This window comes from Homo sapiens, chromosome 11, assembly GCF_000001405.40.
Source record: "Homo sapiens chromosome 11, GRCh38.p14 Primary Assembly".
Taxonomy (NCBI): domain Eukaryota; kingdom Metazoa; phylum Chordata; class Mammalia; order Primates; family Hominidae; genus Homo; species Homo sapiens.
The window spans coordinates 134,943,049-134,964,568 of NC_000011.10; the positions used below are offsets into that span (position 1 = coordinate 134,943,049).

Genomic DNA, 21,520 nt, shown 5'->3' on the forward strand with positions numbered 1-21,520 from the left:
CAGACAGCATCGAGCACTTTGAGGCTTCATTTGCATAATAAACTGCCCAGAACAATGATAATCCATAAAAGGGTCCCATAAAAGGACCCTTCAGAAGGTGGCTGAATAAGTGGAAAAACAGGATGATTATCACAGCCACCAACAACGTCACCAGGAGTGCAGCTTCATAAACAGCTTGTCAGTTAGTTAATTAGTTGGGGGTGAAGGCCACAGCTGGGGCAAAAGGCCTGAGCCAGCCAGACAGTGTGCTTGCCAGACACTGACCCCAGCCAAGATCACATGCAGAAAGGGGGCAGCAGGGCTGGAGGGAACGCTCAGGTTTGACCAGACACACCTGGATTTGAAACCTGTCCTCACATTTCCGGGATGTGTCATTACACAGAGCTTTGGTTTTCTCATCTGCAAAGCGAACGTAAAAATACCTACCTTATAGGGTCGATTTGAAGACCAGAGGTTGGGTAATGGCAGGGTGGGGAGAGGGACACCACTGTTTCAGGACCATACGCATTGTAATCACCTCATCCTCGTGGCAATCCAGGTGCTGGTATATTTGGCATTTTCATGTTACAGATGAGGAAAGTAAGGCTCAGGCAGATGAAATAACTTGTCCAAGGCCACTCAGCAAGTAAACATTGAAACCAGAAGCCCCGCCCCATTCTGCAGGTCTCCCCAGCCTGGCCCCGCTTCTCCCTCCCAGTGCTCCCTGTCTTTGTGGTGTCTGGGGGGCTCCTCCCTGCTCGCCAGGTGATTACACAATTCTGCTTCACAGGTGGCTCATTTTTCTTTCCTGGACCTGAAGCTCCTTGAGGACAGTGACAAGATCATAACTGTCCTCGTAAACACTGCTCTGCCTGTTGATAGCTCCCCTTATTCTGAGGACTCCCCTGAAGGCAGCTCAGGAGCAGCAGTTTCCCTGCCAGGCCCTGCAGAGCCTGGGAGAATCTGCATCTGGTCCAGGCCTGTTCTCTTCTGGATGGAGCCTGCCTGGTTGCCCTCTGCCTGCTCATGGAGGTCTCCACTGCTCAGACCTAGGCCCTGGGAGGCCCTGGGAGAAGAGTTGACCAGTGGGAAGCAGGAGAAGGGGAGGGGATAAAAGCAAGGGAAAGCCGGATAGCAATGAAGAAGAGAGGTGGAAATAGTGCCTGTGCCAGGAGCAGGGTGCCCCACCTGCCCTCAGAGCTCAGGCAGAGTCCCCATGGCAGGGGCTGGGGCTGGGGAGGAAGCCAGGCAGATGCCACTGCCTCACAATTAGAACAGCATTGTGGCTCAGAAAACCATGACACCAAGAAGTGCCAGGAGGGCAGGGACCTACTGAGGGGCAGCAGTGGCGTGGCACAGGGGCAGCCTGTCAGCACCTCGGCCTGACTGTAGTTTAGGGGTGGGAATGGGGTGAGGTGTAAGCTGGAGATGGGGCAGGGGCCGGTCCCGAGGATGCAAATGACTCAGGCCTCTTGGTGCCAAGCAGGAAAACCCAGCCACAAGCAGCTTAAACATGATAATGGGCATTTATTGACTTGACCACCTAATAAGTCTGGGCCCAGCCAACTAGGTTCTCAAGTGACATCACCAGGTGCTAAGGTCAGCCCCACCCACCCACTCACGGGCTGAGAGTGGGGAGAGCAGGTTCTGCTGAGCAGGAAAATAGCAAATATTCACCATGCAGGGTAGCAAAAAGAAAAAGAATAGACAGGAACATGATTGGAGAGAAAGCTGAAAAGAAAAAGGGAGCAGGAGGAACAGGGAAAAACAAGAAGCGGGGAATCAGGCAAGGAGTTTCAAGACAGGTCCTTGCAAAGGTTGGGAAAGAAAGAGAGAGGCTCCAGCAGATTTGCAGGGTTTATTGTAAATTTGGCAAGAGTTACACAGAAACCAAAAAGAACGTGTGGTTCTGCTCCTGGCCATGGTGCGGTCATTGCATCACCTTCAGCCTGGCTTTCGGCAAAGCTCACCTCCCACCCCGCCCCACCCTGCCCGTGGAGGTGAAGAGCAGCTGTTCTTGGTCACTCGCTTCCTAGTCCCATCCATAGCTTGGCTCTGGGAATCCTCTCTTCAAAGCTCTGAGCAGATTCCACCGGTGTCTACAGGCTGTGGCCCAAAGCCGTGCAGCTGAGAGTGTGACGAAGTGGCTCCACACCTCCCGCTCCGGCTGAGCAGAGACACTGCCGCTTCACTGCCAGATCCAGGATCGTCACCCTCCAGTTCATTCTGGGCAAAGCCACCTGCCACCCATATGCACACTTGTCCTCAGCCTAACATGGGCCCCATGGCTTTCACCACCCCAAACTTTGGCTCCTAACCCTTTGTTCAGACAAACCTGGTTGCAGACCAAGATGCTTGATCTGTGAAGATGCAAGAAACTCTTATCACTGCTTTTGCTGTAACCCCTCTTTCTTCTCTGTCTTTCGAAGCATGCTTAGTGGGTTGGAAAGCAAAACTAAATGGGAAGAACTAATATTCATTAAACTCTTGCCATGCACTGAGCTCTTTCTATAGTTTTCTAATCCTCTTTTTCCTTTTCTGCATTTGCTGTTTCTTAAATTGAGTATTGTTTTGTGCAAGACAAAATGTTTTCATTAAGAAATCCTCTTTGCCTGTGTTAGATGGGTTGCTGGCACCTCACTGGCTGGTTCTCAGTGGAGGTGGGCATTCTCACTCAGCCATGCAGACCACAGGGCTCAGAGAGCTGACCTGGCTGCCCCAGGCCACGGAGCAGTAAGAAATAGAATCACAATTCAAACCTGGATTTTGTCTCCAAATCCAGCAAATCTGAACGGTGGCGCTATAAAGAAAAACATAAATAAATAATTTACCTGAAAGGACAGATAAAAGCACTTTTCTTTCTGTTGCAAATAACATAGGTTAGAGTTCAGATTTTAAGTGCCAGGGAGGTTAAGTCCTGTCAGGAAATTTTTGTCCAAAAAGGGGTGAAAATTGCCATGGTGTGCAGAGTAAAAGGGGAAGGGAGCAAAGCTGAGGTGTAGGAAAGAAGATGGGAGGTATCTGCGCCCCTTCCCTGAAAGGAGGTGTGGGCAGCAGCGTGTGTGGGGTGGAGACGTCCTGAGAGAGGCCCGAGAGTGCCCTCTGAAGAGGAAACCGCATCACCGAAGCCTGGGCTGGCCCCAGCTGAGGGCAGGAATACCTGCAAGCCCAGAGGGCCCCAGGGCCTCCTGAGCAGTGTGGGCTGAGTCAGCTCCTTACTGGGCAGGGTTAGACTGAGACAGGAGCTCCAGCCCCAGCAGGCTGGAGGTATTCGTTGGGCACCATCGCATCGAGCCCAGAGGGTGACTCCAGAGCATGACTGTCTTTCAAACTTTAGAAAATCTTGGGACCTTACTCTTACACAAAATTCACAGATGTTTAGCAAGTATACTGTTTCAATAATGTCTGTAAGACATAATTTAGTAGAAAAAACTTATATAAATCCATAATCGACGTTTGGAAGATATTGGAAAAGCAGTATGGATAGCCACATTAGGGCATTGAAGTTGGTGGTGAAATCGTAGGACTTCTAATAACATTTCTTTCATTTTTATGATTTAAAAATTATTATCAAGAAAAACTTTCATTCTATAGAACTTTAGAATTCCTAAGCAGGATGGAAAATCTCAATCCAAACCAATCTTGCCCTAACTCTTCCTGCCAGATGAGATCATTTTGGTAAAAGTAGATTTAATTCTATTAAAGCTGCTTTACTTTTCAATGCTTAATAGGATGCAAATGTATGCAATTAATTTAGTTATTTGCATAATAAATATTCCCATAAAGTATCTTTGCTGCATGATCCCAAGTGTTTTATTATTAATTATGTTTTTCAAAATCAGAGAAGAAATATGAATGTTGGTAAGTATTTTAAAAAGCATCTATTCCTGTTTGTTTCTCTAAATTCAGTTTGGGATTAGTGGCCCTTAGCAATGGATTAGAAATTTGCAGTGTGCAAGAATGGGTCTGAGAAGCTTGGCTCCTGAGCTCAGGAAAACCCTCTGGCTAAGATGGAGGTGGCAAGATCCGTCCTGAGCTCTTCCTGCACCATCCTTGCTTGGAGCTCATTGTCCTGAAAGAAAATGGAATATACAAGCAGGGTGTGAGGAGAGGAAAGCAAGCAGGCCCTGCACTGTGCTGTACCCACCCCAGTCCCTCATGTCTTCACTGGAGGTTCAGACCCTGCCTGGGTCCAGCCTGGGTTTCCCTCCTCCTCCGCAGGGAGGAGCCGCTCTATTCCCACCTTCCCACTCTGTCCACTGTTCTGCAGATCTGCCTGACCTCAGGTAGACCAGAGTTTTCATTGCATTAAAATATTTTCTCCACCACAAAAGCAATATATAGTCATTATGCAAAATATGTGATTCACAGATAAACAAAAGGAAAAATGCAAATTAACTATAATCCCACCATTCAGAAAAATTTATTTTTAATACCTTGAGATGATCAGCATGCCTTTAAGTTTCCCAGAATTAAATGTCTGTGGCCAAATCCTTTGGAGAAATCTACATGTGAAACTGGCTGCAGATCTTCCTCATTCCAAAACTCACTTGAACACAGAATCTTCATGTAGTAGTTTTTAATAAAACGTGTATTCTGTGAGACGGGTTTTGAGAAATCCTAGTGTAATCCCTGCTTGTTCCTGGCAGCTGCCCCCAGTGCCGTCTCTGTCAGGCTGGTGGCCTGTCTGTCCCTGCGGAGGAGAGAACAGGACCTTGCACTGCTGTGACCGCCAGTTCCCAGGCCCCGTGGGATGAGCCGTGTCCTCACGGCAAGCCTGCCCTGCCTGACCTCTGGGTCTGTCTCGTGGCTATTGTCTCTTTATTTTTCAGCTACCTCTTGTCTTCATAACATGAATGTCCTTGCCAGCATATGGGCACAGTTTGATTAGGGGAGAATTATCACCCGTTTAATGCAATATACAACCAGTGTGAGATGCAGAGACACCGAGTCTTGTGTAAATTATCTTACAAATCTGAGGCCAGGCACGGTGGTTCAAGCCTGTAATCCCAGCACTTTGGGAGGCTGAGGCGGGAGGATCACCCGAGGTCAGGAGTTGGAGACCAGCCCAGCCAATATGGTGAAACCCCGTCTCTACTAAAAATACAAAGATTAGCTGGGCATGGTGGCAGGCACCTGTAATCCTAGCTACTCAGGAGGCTGAGGCAGGAGAATCATTTGAACCTGGGAGGTGGAGGTTGTATTGAGCTGAGATCGTGCCACTGCACTCCAGCCTGGGTGACAGAGTGAGTCTCTATCCCAAAAAAAAAAATTAAATAAATAAATAATAATTTTACAAATCTGAGATATGCGCCTGAAAGACACATCTTAGATTTCTCGCCAACTCATTGATCAAGTCACCTATCCACAGAATAACTGAGTCAGTCTGCTGTCTTCACCCAGGAAAGTGATCAGGTCTTTATAGCTCAAGGCTGGGTTTGCTTGTAGGAAATCCCTGTGTGGGCTGCAAGATTCAAGATGCATTGGGGATTTCTCCCTCAAAAATATCTTCTCCATGGATGCCCCAGGGAGCTCTCATGGAAGCTATCAGAGTGGTCTTTGTCCAGGAGATGCAGTCATCCTCATGGAAGCTATCAGAGTGGTCTTTGGCCAAGAGATGCAGTCATCCTCATCGAAGCTATCAGAGTTGTCTTTGGCCAGGAGATGCAGTCATCCTCATGGAAGCTATCTGAGTGGTCTTTTGGCTGGGAGATGCAGTCATCCACAGATCTCTTCTTGTTTTAGCCACCTCTCTCTCCTCCATGGGCTCTCTAAGGAAAATACATGCATAGGCTAAACTGGCAAAGGAAAGCAAAGTAACGCTTTATTATTAATTGGGACTTTGGTTCCAAGCCTCCAAACAGAATTCCATTAAACTATGTTGGACTCAATAGGTAATTCTTCATGAGAATTTATGAGAATATGCATAAGGCAGCTCAGAGCTTAGAACCAAGTGCTGGGCAGTATATTCCTTTTTATGCACTCACAACCAGACCTTAAGCTTGACTCCATCAACCAGGCCAGAGAATTCCTACAATAGCAGGAGGAAATGGAGTCACAGCACAAGGGACCCTGTTTGTCTGCAGTGCTCAGCACAAAACCAGCCAAGCCTGGTTGCTGTATTAGGAAGAGAGAACTTTCCGAGAGAAAGCCTGTCTGGCCCTTGGCACTTCCCGCTGCAGTCACTGGAGAGGTAAGAGAGAAAAGGGGCCACTCTGTCATGTGTTTTCTCTGAAAACAAACCCAGGACACTATGACTAAGCATTGACCAAGAGCTTGGAATTTCCTGTCCTTGATGCCACAAGCAATCCCAAACTTGGCAATGTAAAATAGCAACTGTTTTGTAGTGCTCTTGGGTTCTGCAATCCAGGGATCTGAGAACAGCATTGTAGGGTGGTTTATCTCTGCTCCACACTGTCTGCATCCTCAGCTTGGAAGACCGGGAGGCTGGAGGCAGCTTGGCAGCTGGGGTCTGAACCCCCCTGCAGGCACACTTCTTCACATGGCAGTTGATGCTGGCTGCTGGCTGGGACCTCTGCTGGGCTGCCAGCCAGAATATCTGTTTGTGGCTTCTCCATGTGGCTGTTTGGGGTTCTTCAAATTTCTTCTAAGAGTGAACATCCCAAGAGAACCAGGCTGAAGCCATATCACCTTTCGCATGCTAGCCTTGGGAGTAAAATCATGTCCTTCTCATTGTACTCCATTAATCAGGGCAGTCGCAAAGATCCAGCCAGACTGAATGAGAGGGGACAGACATCATCATTCCACGGCTGGTACGTTAAGCTTACATTGTAAGAAAAGCATGTGGGATGTGCAGTGTTATTACTTGCCACCCAACTCACCCTCGATTAGTAATAAAGTGTCTATATGGGACACGTGGAAGCAAGGGGGAGAGAAATAAGAGTCCTAAGTTTCTCCCAGATACTGACTGATACTGGGAAACGTGCCTAAAACCCACTGCTGGAATCCTTCTCTGGATCAGAGCACGCAGCCTCAGAACAGTGAGTAATTAAGCTGTTATTGGCTGTTGGTGTCAATAGCCAATACTGACTACACACTTCATTGTCTATTGGTCATATTAGAAAGCAGACGGGACTGAAGATCTAGACGGATAAATTGTTCTTTGGTGAAGGGTTTTGGGACACGTTTCATCAATAGGTTCCTATCAGGCAAATGCTCCAGGAGGCTGGAGATGAAAACTGAACAAATAACTGAAAGAAAAGAATAAAGAAATGCCTTCTTTAAGCCTTGGCTCCTTCACAATTTGACCATGACCAGTCCTTCCCAGAAGTGAGAGTCAGCTGGGCAGGAGTTTTCCTCCATCAGTGGAGTCATTTTATCAACATCCAGCCTTAGAGCGCTTCTTTACGGAGGGAGAAACTCAAACACAAGGCAGGGGAGGTGACAAGTGTGTTCTCCAGGCCTGGGGTTTCAGGTGAGGGTGGAGGTGTGGGGCCAGGCAGGTGGTGGCTATCCCCTCTTCCCCATAAGGAAGATAACACGAACATGCAGGTTGATGCAGGGAGAGCAGAATTATGGGATGTTACATCTTACAGAAATATCAGTTATGTTTCTTTAATTGTCAGTGACAAAAAGATATTTTTTCTACAAATAAAAAAGGCCATATTTGGAATAATATGGAGCATCTTACAAAAGGAAAATTGTACCTGTACCTAATAAGCCATAGTAGCTCTGGGAACTGAATCTCGGGCACCAGGAACAGTCTCGCATGTCATTGTAATCTGGATTCATGAGCTCTGACTTTCCACAGTCTTTGAGTCACTGAGCACTAGGATCAACTTTCACAGAGGATCCAGATAATCAGCCAGCTTAAGTCACACTCCTACAGCTTGGCTAGGGTAGGGATTCCTCACCAACAGTCCCATAAGATCTTATCCAGTCAGGAGGGGCTGGCCCAATCTGAAGTGCAGCCGAGACCGGGAGCCACAGACCTGGAACCTGTGTACTCAAAGAGTTGTCCACATGCCAGCAGCACTGGCCCTTCCAGGAGCTGTTAGAAATGTAGAACCTCAGAGCCTACATTGAAGATATTGAATCGGAGTCTGCACATCGCTTCTGAGAAGCCATGAGCTAAGCTGATGCCATTCAGCTGGGTAGCATCGCAGTCACTGTGCAACTTTTAAACATACAGCTGCCCAGGCCCACTGCAGACCTGCTAAATTCAAGCTCCTTGTAGTGGGGCCAGGGCCCTGGGACTTCATACAAAACTCTGCAAGTCATCACTGATGAGAAAACCAAGACTCGATGAGGTAAAGCAACTTCCCCCACCACAAAACCTAGTCCTGTGTGAGGGAGCCAGGGGTATTTACATTTTCCTAATTTACATCCTTTTAAACTGCATTTTTCAGAGTCTCCTGAGCTCAGAGGAAGAAGCTGCATAACCAGCACACTTCCAGAGAGGACCGAGGAAGAGAGCGTTGCTTCAGCCAGGGTCTGATTAGTCATGCCTGGCAGGCTCTGCTGAGCTGGGTGCTCATGGGTTTTGCTTGCTGAGCTGAATTAATATATTAGTGGATTTCATGTTTGACTCGCTCTTTCTTTCTCACTGCGCAGGAGCTAAAGGAGTGGAGCTGGGGATGCCAATGTTTCTGTTTAGACAGCTGAAGGGGCCATGCGAGCCCACAGCGAGAGCTGCAGGAGCAGCTACTACAGGGAGTGGGCAGATTTTAGGGTGCGCAGATTTGTACTTGGTGTGGCTCGGTTGTACATTCAGGAATCTCTTTCCTTGTGATACGCAGAGCTGCACGTGGAAGATGTTAGGAACACAGCTGGGTGCAGTTTTGCTGGTTAGTTCTGAACAAACCTACAGACGTGAGATTTGAACTCTATAAGGGAAGAAAGCAAGGAGGAAGAAGGCACTGAGGCTGCCTGTCACCAGAAGGGTTCTGGGCAAAACGGGGTAGAGTGACTTGGGACAGTTCCTCCTAACGATAGCACAGGCAGTAGGGGTTGAGACACAGTGGGGTTGAGACTTGCTTAAATGTATAGTTATTCAGCCAGCCATTTTCATAGAATAATTGTGGGTTGCCCTGAGCTGCCGCGTTCACATGCTCTGCAGTGGAGTACTATATGCTAATGTGAGATGGGAGTACACCCAGATTTCACCCCCCTAGAACGTGGTTTTTTTTTTTTTAAAGTAAAACAATGCTATGGCCAGGTGTGGCCTGTTAGCTTTAAAAACAAATGGCCTCTGCTGAGGGACACTTGGGTTGTTTCCCTGTCTTGGCTACGGTGAGCAGTGCTGCAGTGGACATGGGAGGGCAGGCAGCTCTTCTACCCACTGACCTCCTTTCCTGTGGGTTTGTCCCCAGAAGTGGGACCTGCTGGATCATATCGAAGCTCTGGTTGTCATTTTCTGAGGAACCTTCAGGCTGTTTTCATCCTGGCTCTACTAATTTACATTCCCACCCTCAGTGAATAAGGGTTCACTCTTCACATCCTCACCAGCACAGGTTACCTTTTTTGACTTTTTCATAATTGCCATCCTAACAGGTGCGAGGTGATAACTGTTTGCGGCTTTAATTTGCATTTCCCTGATGATTAGTTGAGGACTTTTTCATATACCTGTTGCCCATTTGTATGTCTTCTTTGGAAAAATGTCTATTCAGGTCCTTTGCCCATTTTTAATCAGGTTATTACTCTTATTATTTTGCTACTGAGCTGTATGAGTTTCTTATTTATTTAAAATATTAACCCCCTTTCAGATATATGGTTTGAAAATGATGTCTTTTATTCCATAGGTTGGCAGATGAATGGATTAAGAATATGTGATACACACACACACACACACACAGGCACACGTACTAAAATATCTTTCAGCCTTAACAAGAAGAAAATCTTGCCATTTGCAATGACATAGATAAACCTAGAAGACATTATGTTAAATGAAATAAAGCAAGCACAGAAAATCACATACTACATGATCTCACTTATATGTAGAATCTAGAAAAGTTGGAATCATTGAAATAGAGTAGAATGAAAGCCACAAAGAGCTGGGGGTAGGAGAAACAGGGAGATGATGGTCAAAGGTCAAAGGACACAAACTTGCAGGTATAAGATGAGTCAGTTCTGGAGACCTAGTGTACAGCATGGGGACTCCAGTTAATAATGTGTTTGACACGTGGAACTTGGAAAGAGTCGATCTCAAGTATTTTCACTACACACACACACACACACACAAGTACCTGTGAGGTGAAGGATATGTTAATTTGCTTGATTGTGGTAATCATTTCACAATGTATGTCTATATAAAACATCATGCTTCACACTTTAAATACGTAGAGTTGTAAATGTCAATTTTACCTCAATGAAATGGCAGGTCCTTTCCTTGACCTGCCACCTGACCTGCTACAGTTCAGAGGTTTGAGGCAGGGTAGAGTCACCACCAGAGTGGAGATGGAGGCAGTGTTTAAATAACACACAATTATGTTGGGAAGTCAAAGGGGACACCAGGCTCTCTAAGGAAAAGCTTGGCCTCTTCAGGACATTCTAGGAGGACAGCACATAATCCACACCCCACACCACGCCTTTCCCTGGGTGATGTCATTCCTGAATCCACACCCCACACCATGCCTTTCCCTGGGTGATGTCATTCCTGAATCCACACCCCACACCATGCCTTTCCCTGGGTGATGTCATTCCTGAATCCACACCCCACACCATGCCTTTCCCTGGGTGATGTCATTCCTGAATCCACATCCCACACCATGACTTTCCCTGGGTGATGTCATTCCCGCTGTGGCATCTGGATCATCCACCTGCCAACACTGCCCAGAGCCTCACCTCCAGACCAGACCCACCCTCTTCAGATGGCCCACCCTGTAGACCCTCTCAAAGAGCTCACAGGCACCCCCAGAGAAGGTGTCCCAAATTCCTCCTTCTCTCACCAGCCTGTTCTCACTGAAGTCTTGGTTATCTTAGTAAATGGCACCACTACCCAACCAGTTGCTTGAGTCCATAAATGTGGGACTTGCCATTCACACCACCCGTTGTCTTATCACTCAGTTTAAACACATCTCTCAGCCTTGACCATTTCACTTTCAAAGTATACCTTGAATCTCTCCTTACCTCTTTGTGTTTATGGCCACCATCTGACTCTAAGCCACAGACACCTCTCATCCAGATGTGGCTACAGCCAGTGTCAGCCTGCCAGATACACACCCTGCTCACTTTCCTGCTTCCCTCCAGTCTATTCCACTTGCACACACATATACACTCACACACACTCATTCACATGCACACTACCACACACACACACACACAGCACTGCATACACTCATACTCACTTCCATACCCATGACCACACACTCACACACTCATGCACATACAGTCACATACAAACATGTGATCTTTAAGAACGTATGTTATATAACATTGTTTCTGCTTACGCTTCATCAGTAGCACCCTGTGGCATTTTGTATTTAATTCAAACTTCTTCACTTGTTCCAGAAGCTCCTGAGAGCCATGGCCCCTGCCGGCCTCCCAGGTTCCCCTGATACCACACCCTGCACTGCCCAGTCCCTCCACACTGACCCCCTTTAGCTGCTCAAAGTCTTCCTCTGCCGTGTAGTTTCCACACAGGCCCTCCCCTGCTGGGGTGCTCTCCCTGCCAGTCCTGGCCTGGCTACTCCTCCCGTAGACCCCCTGATGGAAGGAGGCTCCTTGGACCCAGGCACTGCTTCTGTGCTGGTCTCCATGGGGCCTCAGTAGTGGACAGTGTGTCCATTGTCCACTGAGTGAGTGAGCGTTCACTTGCTTACAGTGTGTGTCCTACACACTGTGCTCCATGAGGGAAGGGACTGATTTGCTCATCACTGAAATGCCCGACTTTCTGGTATTCCACACATGCTCAGTAATACCTGACTGAACAACTCAATACCATCTCCACTATAGAGACACCCACAGAGTGCGGCAGAGGCAGCCATGGGCCAATGTTTATGTGATTGAGTTTCTGATGCTATCACAGGCCCTAATTCCCCGTGTGAATTTGGGCAAATTGCTGTACCTCTCTGAGCCCAACTTCCTCACCTGTATGTAAGAGGGTTTACATCAGGCATCTTTATGGCCCTGAATTCTGAAAGCATAAGAAGACTTCACTTCCTGGGGTATTTGGGGCTGGCCCGTTATGTTTGCAGGGAGCCTGGTGGTGTTCCTGTACTTGTCCTCCATTTTTTGGCTTGAAGTGTTGAGAGCGTGTGCGCTTACTTGCTGGAGACCCCATGGTGTGTAAAGCTGTGGTTGCTGGATTTGGTAACAGCCTCTGCTGGAGCCTGCAGAGCCCCAGAGCAGTGGAACTGGCAACTCCCTGGGATCCTGATCCTCATCAGTTTGGATGCTTCTTGTAGCCATGTGACCCATCTGTGTCTCTACTTCCCTCTATGGGACCGAAGACCGCCTGACCGTGGCTCCATGTGGATGTGAAATAGGGTCTGGAGTGAGCCAAGTGGAGAGTAGTGGGTGCCGCCCCGCCGGCTGCGACACTGGGCTGGAGTCTGTGGTGGGTGGTGGACCCATTGAGCAGGCAGTGTGCACCTGATCTCATGCCAAGGGAATCCACGCGGTGCTTTCCTTGTTTTCTGATGAAAATCATTGGGTACAGTGAGAGAGCTGAGCCACCTGTGTGCCAGGTGCCAGAGATCAGTGGCCTCACCATAAACTTGGCCAGGGCAGAAGATGGCTGAAGGTCAAAGTAGCTGCAAGAGGTGTTGTTATCAAGCATGAAGATAAATCGCTTGATATCAGCTTAAAAATGACAAGAATAAAGCTCCTCCTTTACGCTGCCTGAGACCCTGTTTGCTGACAGTGATGGGTGTGAGCTAAAGCTCACTTGCTCTTGCCCCTTCAGATACAACCAGCTACTGTCCTGCAGAGATGGGCATCTGCCAACCTGCAGAGTCCAGTGTTTTGATAGAACAACTCTCTCGATATTCTTCTCTAACCCCCTCTTACCCTTCGAGCATTTCAAACACTGTCCTGGACTCTTCTCCCTCACCTCCAGCACAGAGGCACAGAGTGGAGAAGAAACACAGCACCAGGACCCTCTTTCCTATCTGTTTAGAGAGAAGAGGGTGGAGAGGGTATGGGCGGGAAAGTAAATAGAGACTAAGGGTAGGAGGAGAGAGGGGCAGGATGGGAGGGAGACAGGGCATGAGGGAGAAAGAGAAGTCATTGATGGGCAGAGGGTGAAGGGAGAAGAGGAGAGAGAAAATGAGGGGTGGAGGGAAGCTTGCCATGGAGGGCACAGAATGCATTTCCCCCTCAGAACACTGGCTTGAAGCAGAGAAAATGAATTTTAGTGATATTCAAGGTTGAAACACGCACCAGCAGTAGACACACTTAGAAATGGCTTAATAAATGCATTAACAATCTACAAAGACACAGAAAGGTCCAAGAATTCTAAATCCTCTCTCCCCTCTAGGTCTCAGCAGACCAAAGCAAGTTATTTTCTGATGAAAGGATTTCATCGGACCTTGATGCTCACTTGGATTTTTAAGTGGAAAAAGGTCACTGTGTCTCTGTGCAGTTGCATCATGCAATTCTAATGAGAGAGGCTTCTCAGTCACTCCAAATGTGACCGCGTGTGCAGATCCTCATGTTCTCAGACACCAGCCCCTTCTCCCAGACTGGCTTGCTCCAAACTGCAATCCTCTGAGGCCCATGATCAGTGTCCTGGTCTGAGGCACATGGAGTGTGTCACCCAGAATTTTTGGAATGGAAATGCACTGATCCTCACAAGAGGCAATCACCATTACACCAAGGGAGCTTCTATGGCTTTCTGTTTGATCGCAGTTCTACTCCAGGAGGCTGCCACTCTGTTATGCCCAGGATAGGTTCATGAAGTGGATTCCTGAAATGCTGCGATTCACAGAGGGTTTCCTCTCGCGTGTGACTGAATTTATCAACATGTTTAATAAAGCTACGTGATCTCCCGCAGGCGTTGGCTGCATAGCATCGCGTGTCCACCAGAGCTGCCTCCCTCCCTGAGTCAACGCATCCCTGAAGATACACAGCTTATGTCAGCAGCACAGACCTGCATCCCCCATGGTGACTCAATTTACATTCCATACCCTTGCCCCTGCATGGGGGTCTTCTTGGAAACTCTGAGACAAGTTGGCTGTGTTAGGAGTCCCCTGATCTCAATCTTGCCCAGCCCTATGTGAACTTAGGTCTCTGGAGACTAAGAAGCCCCATGGGCAGAGGAGGAGGAGCAGCAAAGGCCCCAAGCATGAAGTGATTTGGGGGGAGGAGAGAGGAGTTTCCAGAGAGGGTGAGCACCCCATCCCCACTGCGGCACTGTCCCTCTGCCAATGCACACGATACAGCGGGAGTCCTTCCTCCCGCCTGGCTGTGCAGAGTGGCCCTGGGACCTCTAGGTGGGCAGAGAGCGGGAGGTGCAGCAGATGGAGACGGGCTCCTTATACTCTCTCCTCACTGCTGGGGAGGATAGAAGCAGGAGCCACGTGGCTTCAGAGCCTCCTGTTCCTCCCCTTCCCCAAATTCCTATCAACAGCTAACCAAATCCCTGCAAACACCCGCTCTCCAAGCACCTGCTAAGAACCAGGGGTCCTTGGCAGAGGACTCCCCTCGCAGTGGGTGCTCAGAGCCCACTGATCTTGCCCCTCCGCTGGCCCGGCTATGGGAACTGGCAGGTGGCAGCGGAGCTGGAACTTAGGAAGGGCAGGATGTCAGCTTGGAGCCATGCCGGCTGTCACCAGAGGCCGCCCCTCCCACAGCTAAGCCTTCCCGGGTGTTGTGTCATGAGCACACACAGTCCGGAGTCTCCGACACCACTTTGTTTCCCCTGCTCTATCCATGGGGCCACCTCTCACTTTCCCAAAAGAGAGGGCAGGGTGTCAAGCCGTCTCACAGATGGCAGAGCAGATGCCTGACCATACTCTCGAGCAGCTTCAGAGAAGTATTTATGCCCTGAAGTGGTTTCTTCAGGTGACCAGATGAAGGTGAGTTGCTGGACACCACCTACCCCAAGGCCCCTGTCCTCAGGGAGCTCAGGTCCGTGCCCCTCAGAGGTTCATGCCCCTCAGAGCCAGCCAGCTCCCCCTTCCACCTAACCCTGACCAGCAGGAGACCTGTGGAAGTCAGGGGTCGGCCGTGCCCCCTTTCCTCAACCTTCCTGCCTCTCAGCCTTCCCAGGCTGCAGAATTTCACCCCTCAGAGGCTTCCAGAGTCTGCCCACTCCTGTGAGGAACCACCGTCCTCCATAAATGAAATGCAGCCCTTTCCCTGGGGAAGCATGGGGGGCTTACTGAACCCGCTTCTGTGAGGCTGGGCTTGACTAGTGGGCAAAGCTGAGTGTGGCTGGGCCTGGCTGCTCCAGCGGGGCGGTCCCTGCTGCTCCCCGACCCAGAAGGTGGCCTGTGGCCAGAACGTGGTCTTAGAGCTCAGCCCTGACCAGCTTGTGAACTCAGCCCCGGTCGACCCAGGAGGAAGCACAGGTCTCTTGTCTCACTGAGTCTCATCCCCTCAGCCACAGACCTTCCTCCCCATCTCCTCCACCCGCAGAGGTAACCGAGGGCTGGGATGGGGCTAGGAGGCCTCGTATAACTGTGGGAACTGTGGCTGGAGGGTGTCAGAGAGAGAACGCGGAATTCCAGTCTAGTGTGGAAGTGAGGTGAGAGATGCAGATTGCGGTTTTAAAATCTATATAAAATTACCAACTTGAATATTTCCTTATGACTCCTGGAATTCTACTTCTCGGCCCCTAAGTGTGGACATCTGATGCAGTTCTGGAATGTAGAAGGGTTTTATAAAGGTTTCAGGAAATGTTCTTCTTTCCCTATTACAAGAAACAATTGACGTTTCTGCTCCTATATGCTTTTCTTTCTGCTTTAAAAGCAGATAAAATTTTCAGCTACAGCTTCAAGCTAGTGAATAAAGCTGTGGAAATCTGGTTTCAATACATAGAATTCTACCTCTGCGATGACTGCCTGGCGGTGGCTGTTACGTGATTCCGGGGACGTAAGGCCTGTGAGAGTGAGGTCAGGGCTCTGCTGCACTGGGAAGCGTGGGGGCCGGCAGGTCATGATGATGTTGGAAAAACTTCATCTAGATCACTTTCAGGATATCATGCGATACTCAGTGTGGTAGGAAGAGATCAGTACAATGCTTCTACTTGTACAGCATAACCTAGGTATGCAGAGGGCAAAAGACAGAAACCTGTGATCAAGTCAGCACTAGAGCCTAGGATCTATTAACTCCCTATGTACTGTGGTTTTCCTGGAGAAAGAAATTAGTAAATGATAAAATTGCAGCAGTCAGATATAAAATACAGAGTTGTCTATGAGTGAATAGACATTTAAGAAACAGCATGCATAGCTTCACAGATAATCCGGTGACGTAGATTGAAAGTTTGTTTCCTTCCAAGATTCCAATGTGAAAATCCCAACCTGGGAAGGAATGAACAAACGCTGCTGAACCCAGGAGGCCCAGCAAGTGGGCAGTGCGCTCCAGTGGGCCTGGAAGGCAGAGCATTGAGCCAAAGGAAATCGGGTTCAACGCTCTTCATTCCAGGGAGTTTGCCTTGTGGTTTGGACTTGCCTGAGATCCATCACTCCTTTCTTCTTTCCTATTTCTGTCTCGGGAGAAATGTCTGTCCTATGCTTGCAGCACTACTCTACTCTGGAAGCACATAACATTTAGTTTCACAGATTCCTGCCTAGAGAGAAATTTGTTTCAAGATGACTTTTACCTTGAGTCTTAGCCATATCTAATTTAGAGGATATTTATATAAGACTTCCGATTTGAGATTTAGAGTTGACACTGATGGGGTTGAGATTTTGGGGCTACTGGGATGTAATTAGTGTATTTTGCATGTTAGAAGCACTCTAGGCCCGGAGCTGAATGCTGCAGCCTGATGGTTTATGTCTCTTCAAGATGCGTATGTTGAACTCCTAACACCTAAGGTGATGGTATTAGAAGGTGGGGCCTTTGGGAGGTGATTAGATCATAAAGGTGAGGCCTTCATGAATGGGATCAGTGCCCTCCTAGAAGAGACCCCACAGAGCTCTCTCACCTTCCATATGGGGACACAGTGACAAGACGACTGCCTATAAACCAGGAAGTAAGCCGTCACCAGACACTGAATTCTCAGCACCTGGATTTTGGACTTCTGGTCTTCATAACTGAGAAATGCATTTCTGTTGTTTGTAAGACAGTCTATGGTATTCTGGTATGGAAGCCTGAATGGACTAACACATTCAATAACTCAAAGTGATGTTTTAAGAACAGAAGATCTTGCCAACTGAAGGCACAGGCTTCCTCCCTCCTTACCTTCCTCTCACCCACATGGCTTCCCACCCCATCCCTTCACCACTTTTGTCACACCAACGCCACCTTCCCCTTTACCTCTCCCCCAGCATCAAGCCAACACTGCTGATTGCTGCTGACCTTCTGCTAATGCTAAATTTAAAATCAACTTTTTATTTAGAAAGTTTAAAACTTAAATTATAGACTTGGACCTAGGTGGAAGAGAGAAAGAAAAAAAGATTTCTAGACCCTGAGACAAACTCATACATCTGTCCATAAATCTGCTCATTTCATTTTATGGAAACAAAGAAATATGCTTAGTGGGTAGATTTAAATACTCAGACACTTAAAGTATAAGATAGCATGGCAACAACTAGTGGTGAGAAGAGTAGGGAGAGGTCCTGATTCTGCATTCCCCAAGAGCCTGATCTGATTACAATCTTTTGTTGAAATTACTCAATTGTTATTTTTAAGTATTTGATTTTCCCAGCTTTTTGTAAAAATTAAATAGACAGACAGACATACATACACTGTGAAGCTAAAGGCTAAGATTCAGCTGATTTTCCAAAGCTAATCATGAGAGTGGATGTTGTTTATGGAAGCTGAACAATATGACTTTCATCACCAGGCAGTGGCCCCTGGGCAAAGACTCCAGGGTCTCTGGATAAGAAGAAACTGATAGGGAAAAATGGCAGAAATGCTGCAATAAACAACCCTAATGAAGAAGAAATGTAAATCCATATATAACCAAGAATGGTTATTTCAGCTTCCTTCTCCTCCTTCTCCTTCTCCTCCTGCTCCTCCTCCTCCTAAGGATTTTTTTTGTCCCTTTATCAATGCATCATTTTTCAACTCTGTCACTTCCGCATAACACAGCCACCCTTTGCTGTTCTCAACTTTTCCTTTTTGTATTTGTTTGACACTAACTTTTCCCACAGTCTGTAGATTTCTTTTTGTCCTTTTCTAATAGTTCATGTTTTAGAAATTCAGAACAAACAATTTCTGAATGCTCCTCAGAACACCCATCTCAGGCAGAGAATCTCACCGAAATAGAGAAGAAGCTCATGCTCCTGGAAGAAACAGCCTGAGGAGAGCCGCTGGGCCACATCTGGCCACTGTCCACAGCGCTGTCAGATCCAACGAGAGCCGCTGAGTCACATCTGGCCACCGTCCGCAGCACTCACATCTGGCCACCGTCCGCTGCGCTCACATCTGGCCACCGTCCGCAGCGCTCACATCTGGCCACCGTCCGCAGCGCTCACATCTGGTCACCATCCACAGAGCTCACATCTGGCCACCGTCCGCTGCGCTCACATCTGGTCACCATCCACAGCGCTCACATCTGGCCACCGTCCGCTGCGCTCACATCTGGCCACCATCCGCAGCGCTCACATCTGGCCACCGTCCACAGAGCTCACATCTGGCCACCGTCCGCAGCACTCACATCTGGCCACCGTCCGCTGCGCTCACATCTGGCCACCGTCCGCAGCGCTCACATCTGGCCACCGTCTGCTGCACTCACATCTGGCCACCGTCCGCAGAGCTCACATCTGGCCACCATCCGCAGAGCTCACATCTGGCCACCGTCCGCAGCGCTCACATCTGGCCACCGTCCACTGCGCTCACATCTGGCCACCGTCCGCAGCGCTCACATCTGGCCACCGTCCGCTGCGCTCACATCTGGTCACCGTCCGCAGCGCTCACATCTGGCCACCGTCCGCAGCGCTCACATCTGGCCACCGTCCGCAGCGCTCACATCTGGCCACCGTCCGCAGAGCTCACATCTGGCCACCGTCCGCAGCGCTCACATCTGGCCACCGTCCGCTGCGCTCACATCTGGTCACCGTCCGCAGCGCTCACATCTGGCCACCGTCCGCAGTGCTCACATCTGGCCACCGTCCGCTGCGCTCACATCTGGTCACCGTCCGCAGCGCTCACATCTGGTCACCGTCCGCTGCGCTCACATCTGGCCACTGTCCACAGAGCTCACATCTGGCCACCGTCCCCAGCGCTGTCAGATGCCGACCAAACCCTGCTTTGGTGTTGAGGTGGTTTGTCTAGTAGCCTCCTTTCTTAAGGGAATTTAATCTGCTGCAAATGGTTCTCATGTATGCAATAGATGTTACTGTAACTGTTTTATAAGGTGCATTGCCTTCACCTTGCCAGGCTCTATGCCAGTCTGTGTCTAGTCTGATACCATTCCTGCACACATACATCAATGCCCCAGCATTTGGAGGGCTGGAGTTAGGAATAATCCTGTTGGTGACTTATTATTAACTATTGTATGGGACTTATTATGTATCTTCATGTTCTACTGTTCCCACCTCCCAAACCCCAAAAAAGGATGAGATCTGTTTTATAACAAAAACATTTACGATAAGGCCTATACCATAAAATAAGTAATAAAGTTAATACCAACAAAAAGAGAAGAAGTATGAATTACTGCTGTGGTTAGGGTTGACATTATTCCTACGATTGAGCTTCGAAGACTTTTCTAAGCAGTAATAAACATGAACCAAGCGTCACACAGTTCCATTCATGGTCCTGACCTGAGAGAGCGCTTTCCTAGATGGACACCCACTCCCTCTCCCAACTGCCCAACTCATCAGTAAATGGAGTTTGATTTAAGCCAAACCTAATGCAGTAGTTCCCTGTACTTGAGGTTTTTCCTTCTGGGATTTCAGTTACCTGTGGTCAACGAGATCCAAAAATATTAAATAGAAAATTCTAGAGATAAACAATTTACAAGTTCTAAACTGCACGCCTTTCTGGTAGCATGATAAAATCTCATGCTGTCCTGCTCTGTCCCTCATGGAATATGAATCATTCCTTGTCCAGCATATCTACTCTTCATAGCAGCAGTCTAGGTTATCAGATTGACAGCTCCAAGAAGAAAAGTGAGTTAAGTACAATAATATATTTGTGAAGAAAGACCATATTTATATAAGGTTTGTTACAAAACACTATCATAATTGTTCTATTTTATTATTAGTTGTTATGGTTAATCTGTTACTGTACCTAATTTATAAATTAAAATTTATCATAGGTATGTATATATAAGAAAAAACAAACAAACAAACAAAAAATATATATATAGGATTTGGTACTATCCACAATTTCAGCTATTCACTGGGGTCTAGGAAGATATTTTTCATGGATAAGAAGGGGGCTGGGGTATAGCAAAATAAAATTAAATATGCAAAAATGTCTAATCATATGACTAAAGAAAATATACACGACATTAGAAAAGATAAAAGGATCAGTGGTCATCATAGCAGCTTCAAATTTAGAATGCATATTTACAGTTAGTAATACATTTATAGCAATCTATTCATGATGGGTGGTAAGAAGAGAGTAAACAATCTTTCATTGGTAAATCTTTTCGAGATATCTCATTGCTGAATACTTTACATGCTATCTCATTGAATGTTTATGAGGATCTCAAGAAGTAGTCATATTCCTAATAGAGAAAAAAAACTTGAGTTTTTTTTTTCTTGCTATTTCAGTGTTCCTTTTCCTTTGCCAGTCCTCCAATAGCTGTTCAATGAATCTACATATTAAATTTAAGGCTGACTCCATCTCCTGAATCACAGTGGTCATTCTGCCTCTTGGACTGACTCCATTCTTCATTTATTGAGTCCTTGTGGATATAGAGCCTCAGCCCTTGTCATCCCCTAAGGCAAGTGTTGGTCTGAGAAGCGAAACCAAGCTGGCACAGCACTGTAGGCCTGGGAGGGAAAGTGACATGTGCCTGCATCCCAAGGAGTGGGGATGATGAAATCATGAGGGACTCAATGAGGCTATCATTTGGGGTGCCACTGGAACATTGATTAGTGATGAAAGAGGAGAGACCTTTGGCCTCCTGAGAGAATAAATCTGGTCCTCATGGTGTCTCCTTTCCAAGATCACCTCGTTCTTCCTGTCTTACCCACTTCTCAGCTTGGGTAAATATTAAACCCTCCAGTGAATGGGGCCATGTGAAATTTTAGTCTATCTATCTCTACATCACTGAACATGTTGGACTCCACTAATCTTAAGCACAAACATCATTTTTCCTCTTATCAATGATCTTTTAGCATTTTAAGCAACTTTTATATAACAATACTTTTAATATTTTTTCTGGTATCTTGTCTCAGTATCTTCCCATGTAGAACAACTCTATGTATCACAGAACTACTAAAAGCAATTAAATATGGCATATTAAGTTTTTAAACTACATTCTCTTCATTAAAATAACCAGAGTGAAGTTTTATTCATA

At 47.5% G+C, this 21,520-nt stretch overlaps 1 long non-coding RNA gene across 2 annotated transcripts, besides 4 other annotated features; it reads left to right on the plus strand.

Annotated features, from left to right (window-relative positions):
- Positions 4,258-4,758: an enhancer, noted in NCBI's record as "H3K4me1 hESC enhancer chr11:134817200-134817700 (GRCh37/hg19 assembly coordinates)". NCBI's record gives its function as "activates a minimal SCP1, AML or CMV promoter by ChIP-STARR-seq in primed H9 embryonic stem cells {active_cell/tissue: H9 hESC(primed)}" and the evidence as "EXISTENCE:reporter gene assay evidence [ECO:0000049][PMID:30033119]".
- Positions 4,759-5,259: an enhancer, noted in NCBI's record as "H3K4me1 hESC enhancer chr11:134817701-134818201 (GRCh37/hg19 assembly coordinates)". NCBI's record gives its function as "activates a minimal SCP1, AML or CMV promoter by ChIP-STARR-seq in primed H9 embryonic stem cells {active_cell/tissue: H9 hESC(primed)}" and the evidence as "EXISTENCE:reporter gene assay evidence [ECO:0000049][PMID:30033119]".
- Positions 5,812-7,011: an enhancer, noted in NCBI's record as "BRD4-independent group 4 enhancer chr11:134818754-134819953 (GRCh37/hg19 assembly coordinates)". NCBI's record gives its function as "activates an origin of replication core promoter dependent on BRD2, P300/CBP, MED14 and CDK7 cofactors, and independent of BRD4, by STARR-seq in HCT116 cells {active_cell/tissue: HCT116}" and the evidence as "EXISTENCE:reporter gene assay evidence [ECO:0000049][PMID:35650434]".
- LINC02697 (long intergenic non-protein coding RNA 2697) lies at positions 7,941-19,686 on the plus strand. Of its 2 annotated transcripts, none has more exons than NR_187396.1 (2): positions 7,941-8,249; positions 13,418-19,686. It is a non-coding gene; the product is annotated as a long intergenic non-protein coding RNA 2697 (long non-coding RNA). The 2 variants fall into 2 exon arrangements; NR_187395.1 differs by lacking the exon at positions 13,418-19,686 and adding an exon at positions 8,349-8,520.
- Positions 18,559-19,059: an enhancer, noted in NCBI's record as "H3K27ac-H3K4me1 hESC enhancer chr11:134831501-134832001 (GRCh37/hg19 assembly coordinates)". NCBI's record gives its function as "activates a minimal SCP1, AML or CMV promoter by ChIP-STARR-seq in primed H9 embryonic stem cells {active_cell/tissue: H9 hESC(primed)}" and the evidence as "EXISTENCE:reporter gene assay evidence [ECO:0000049][PMID:30033119]".
- Positions 19,687-21,520: the final 1,834 nt, after the last annotated feature.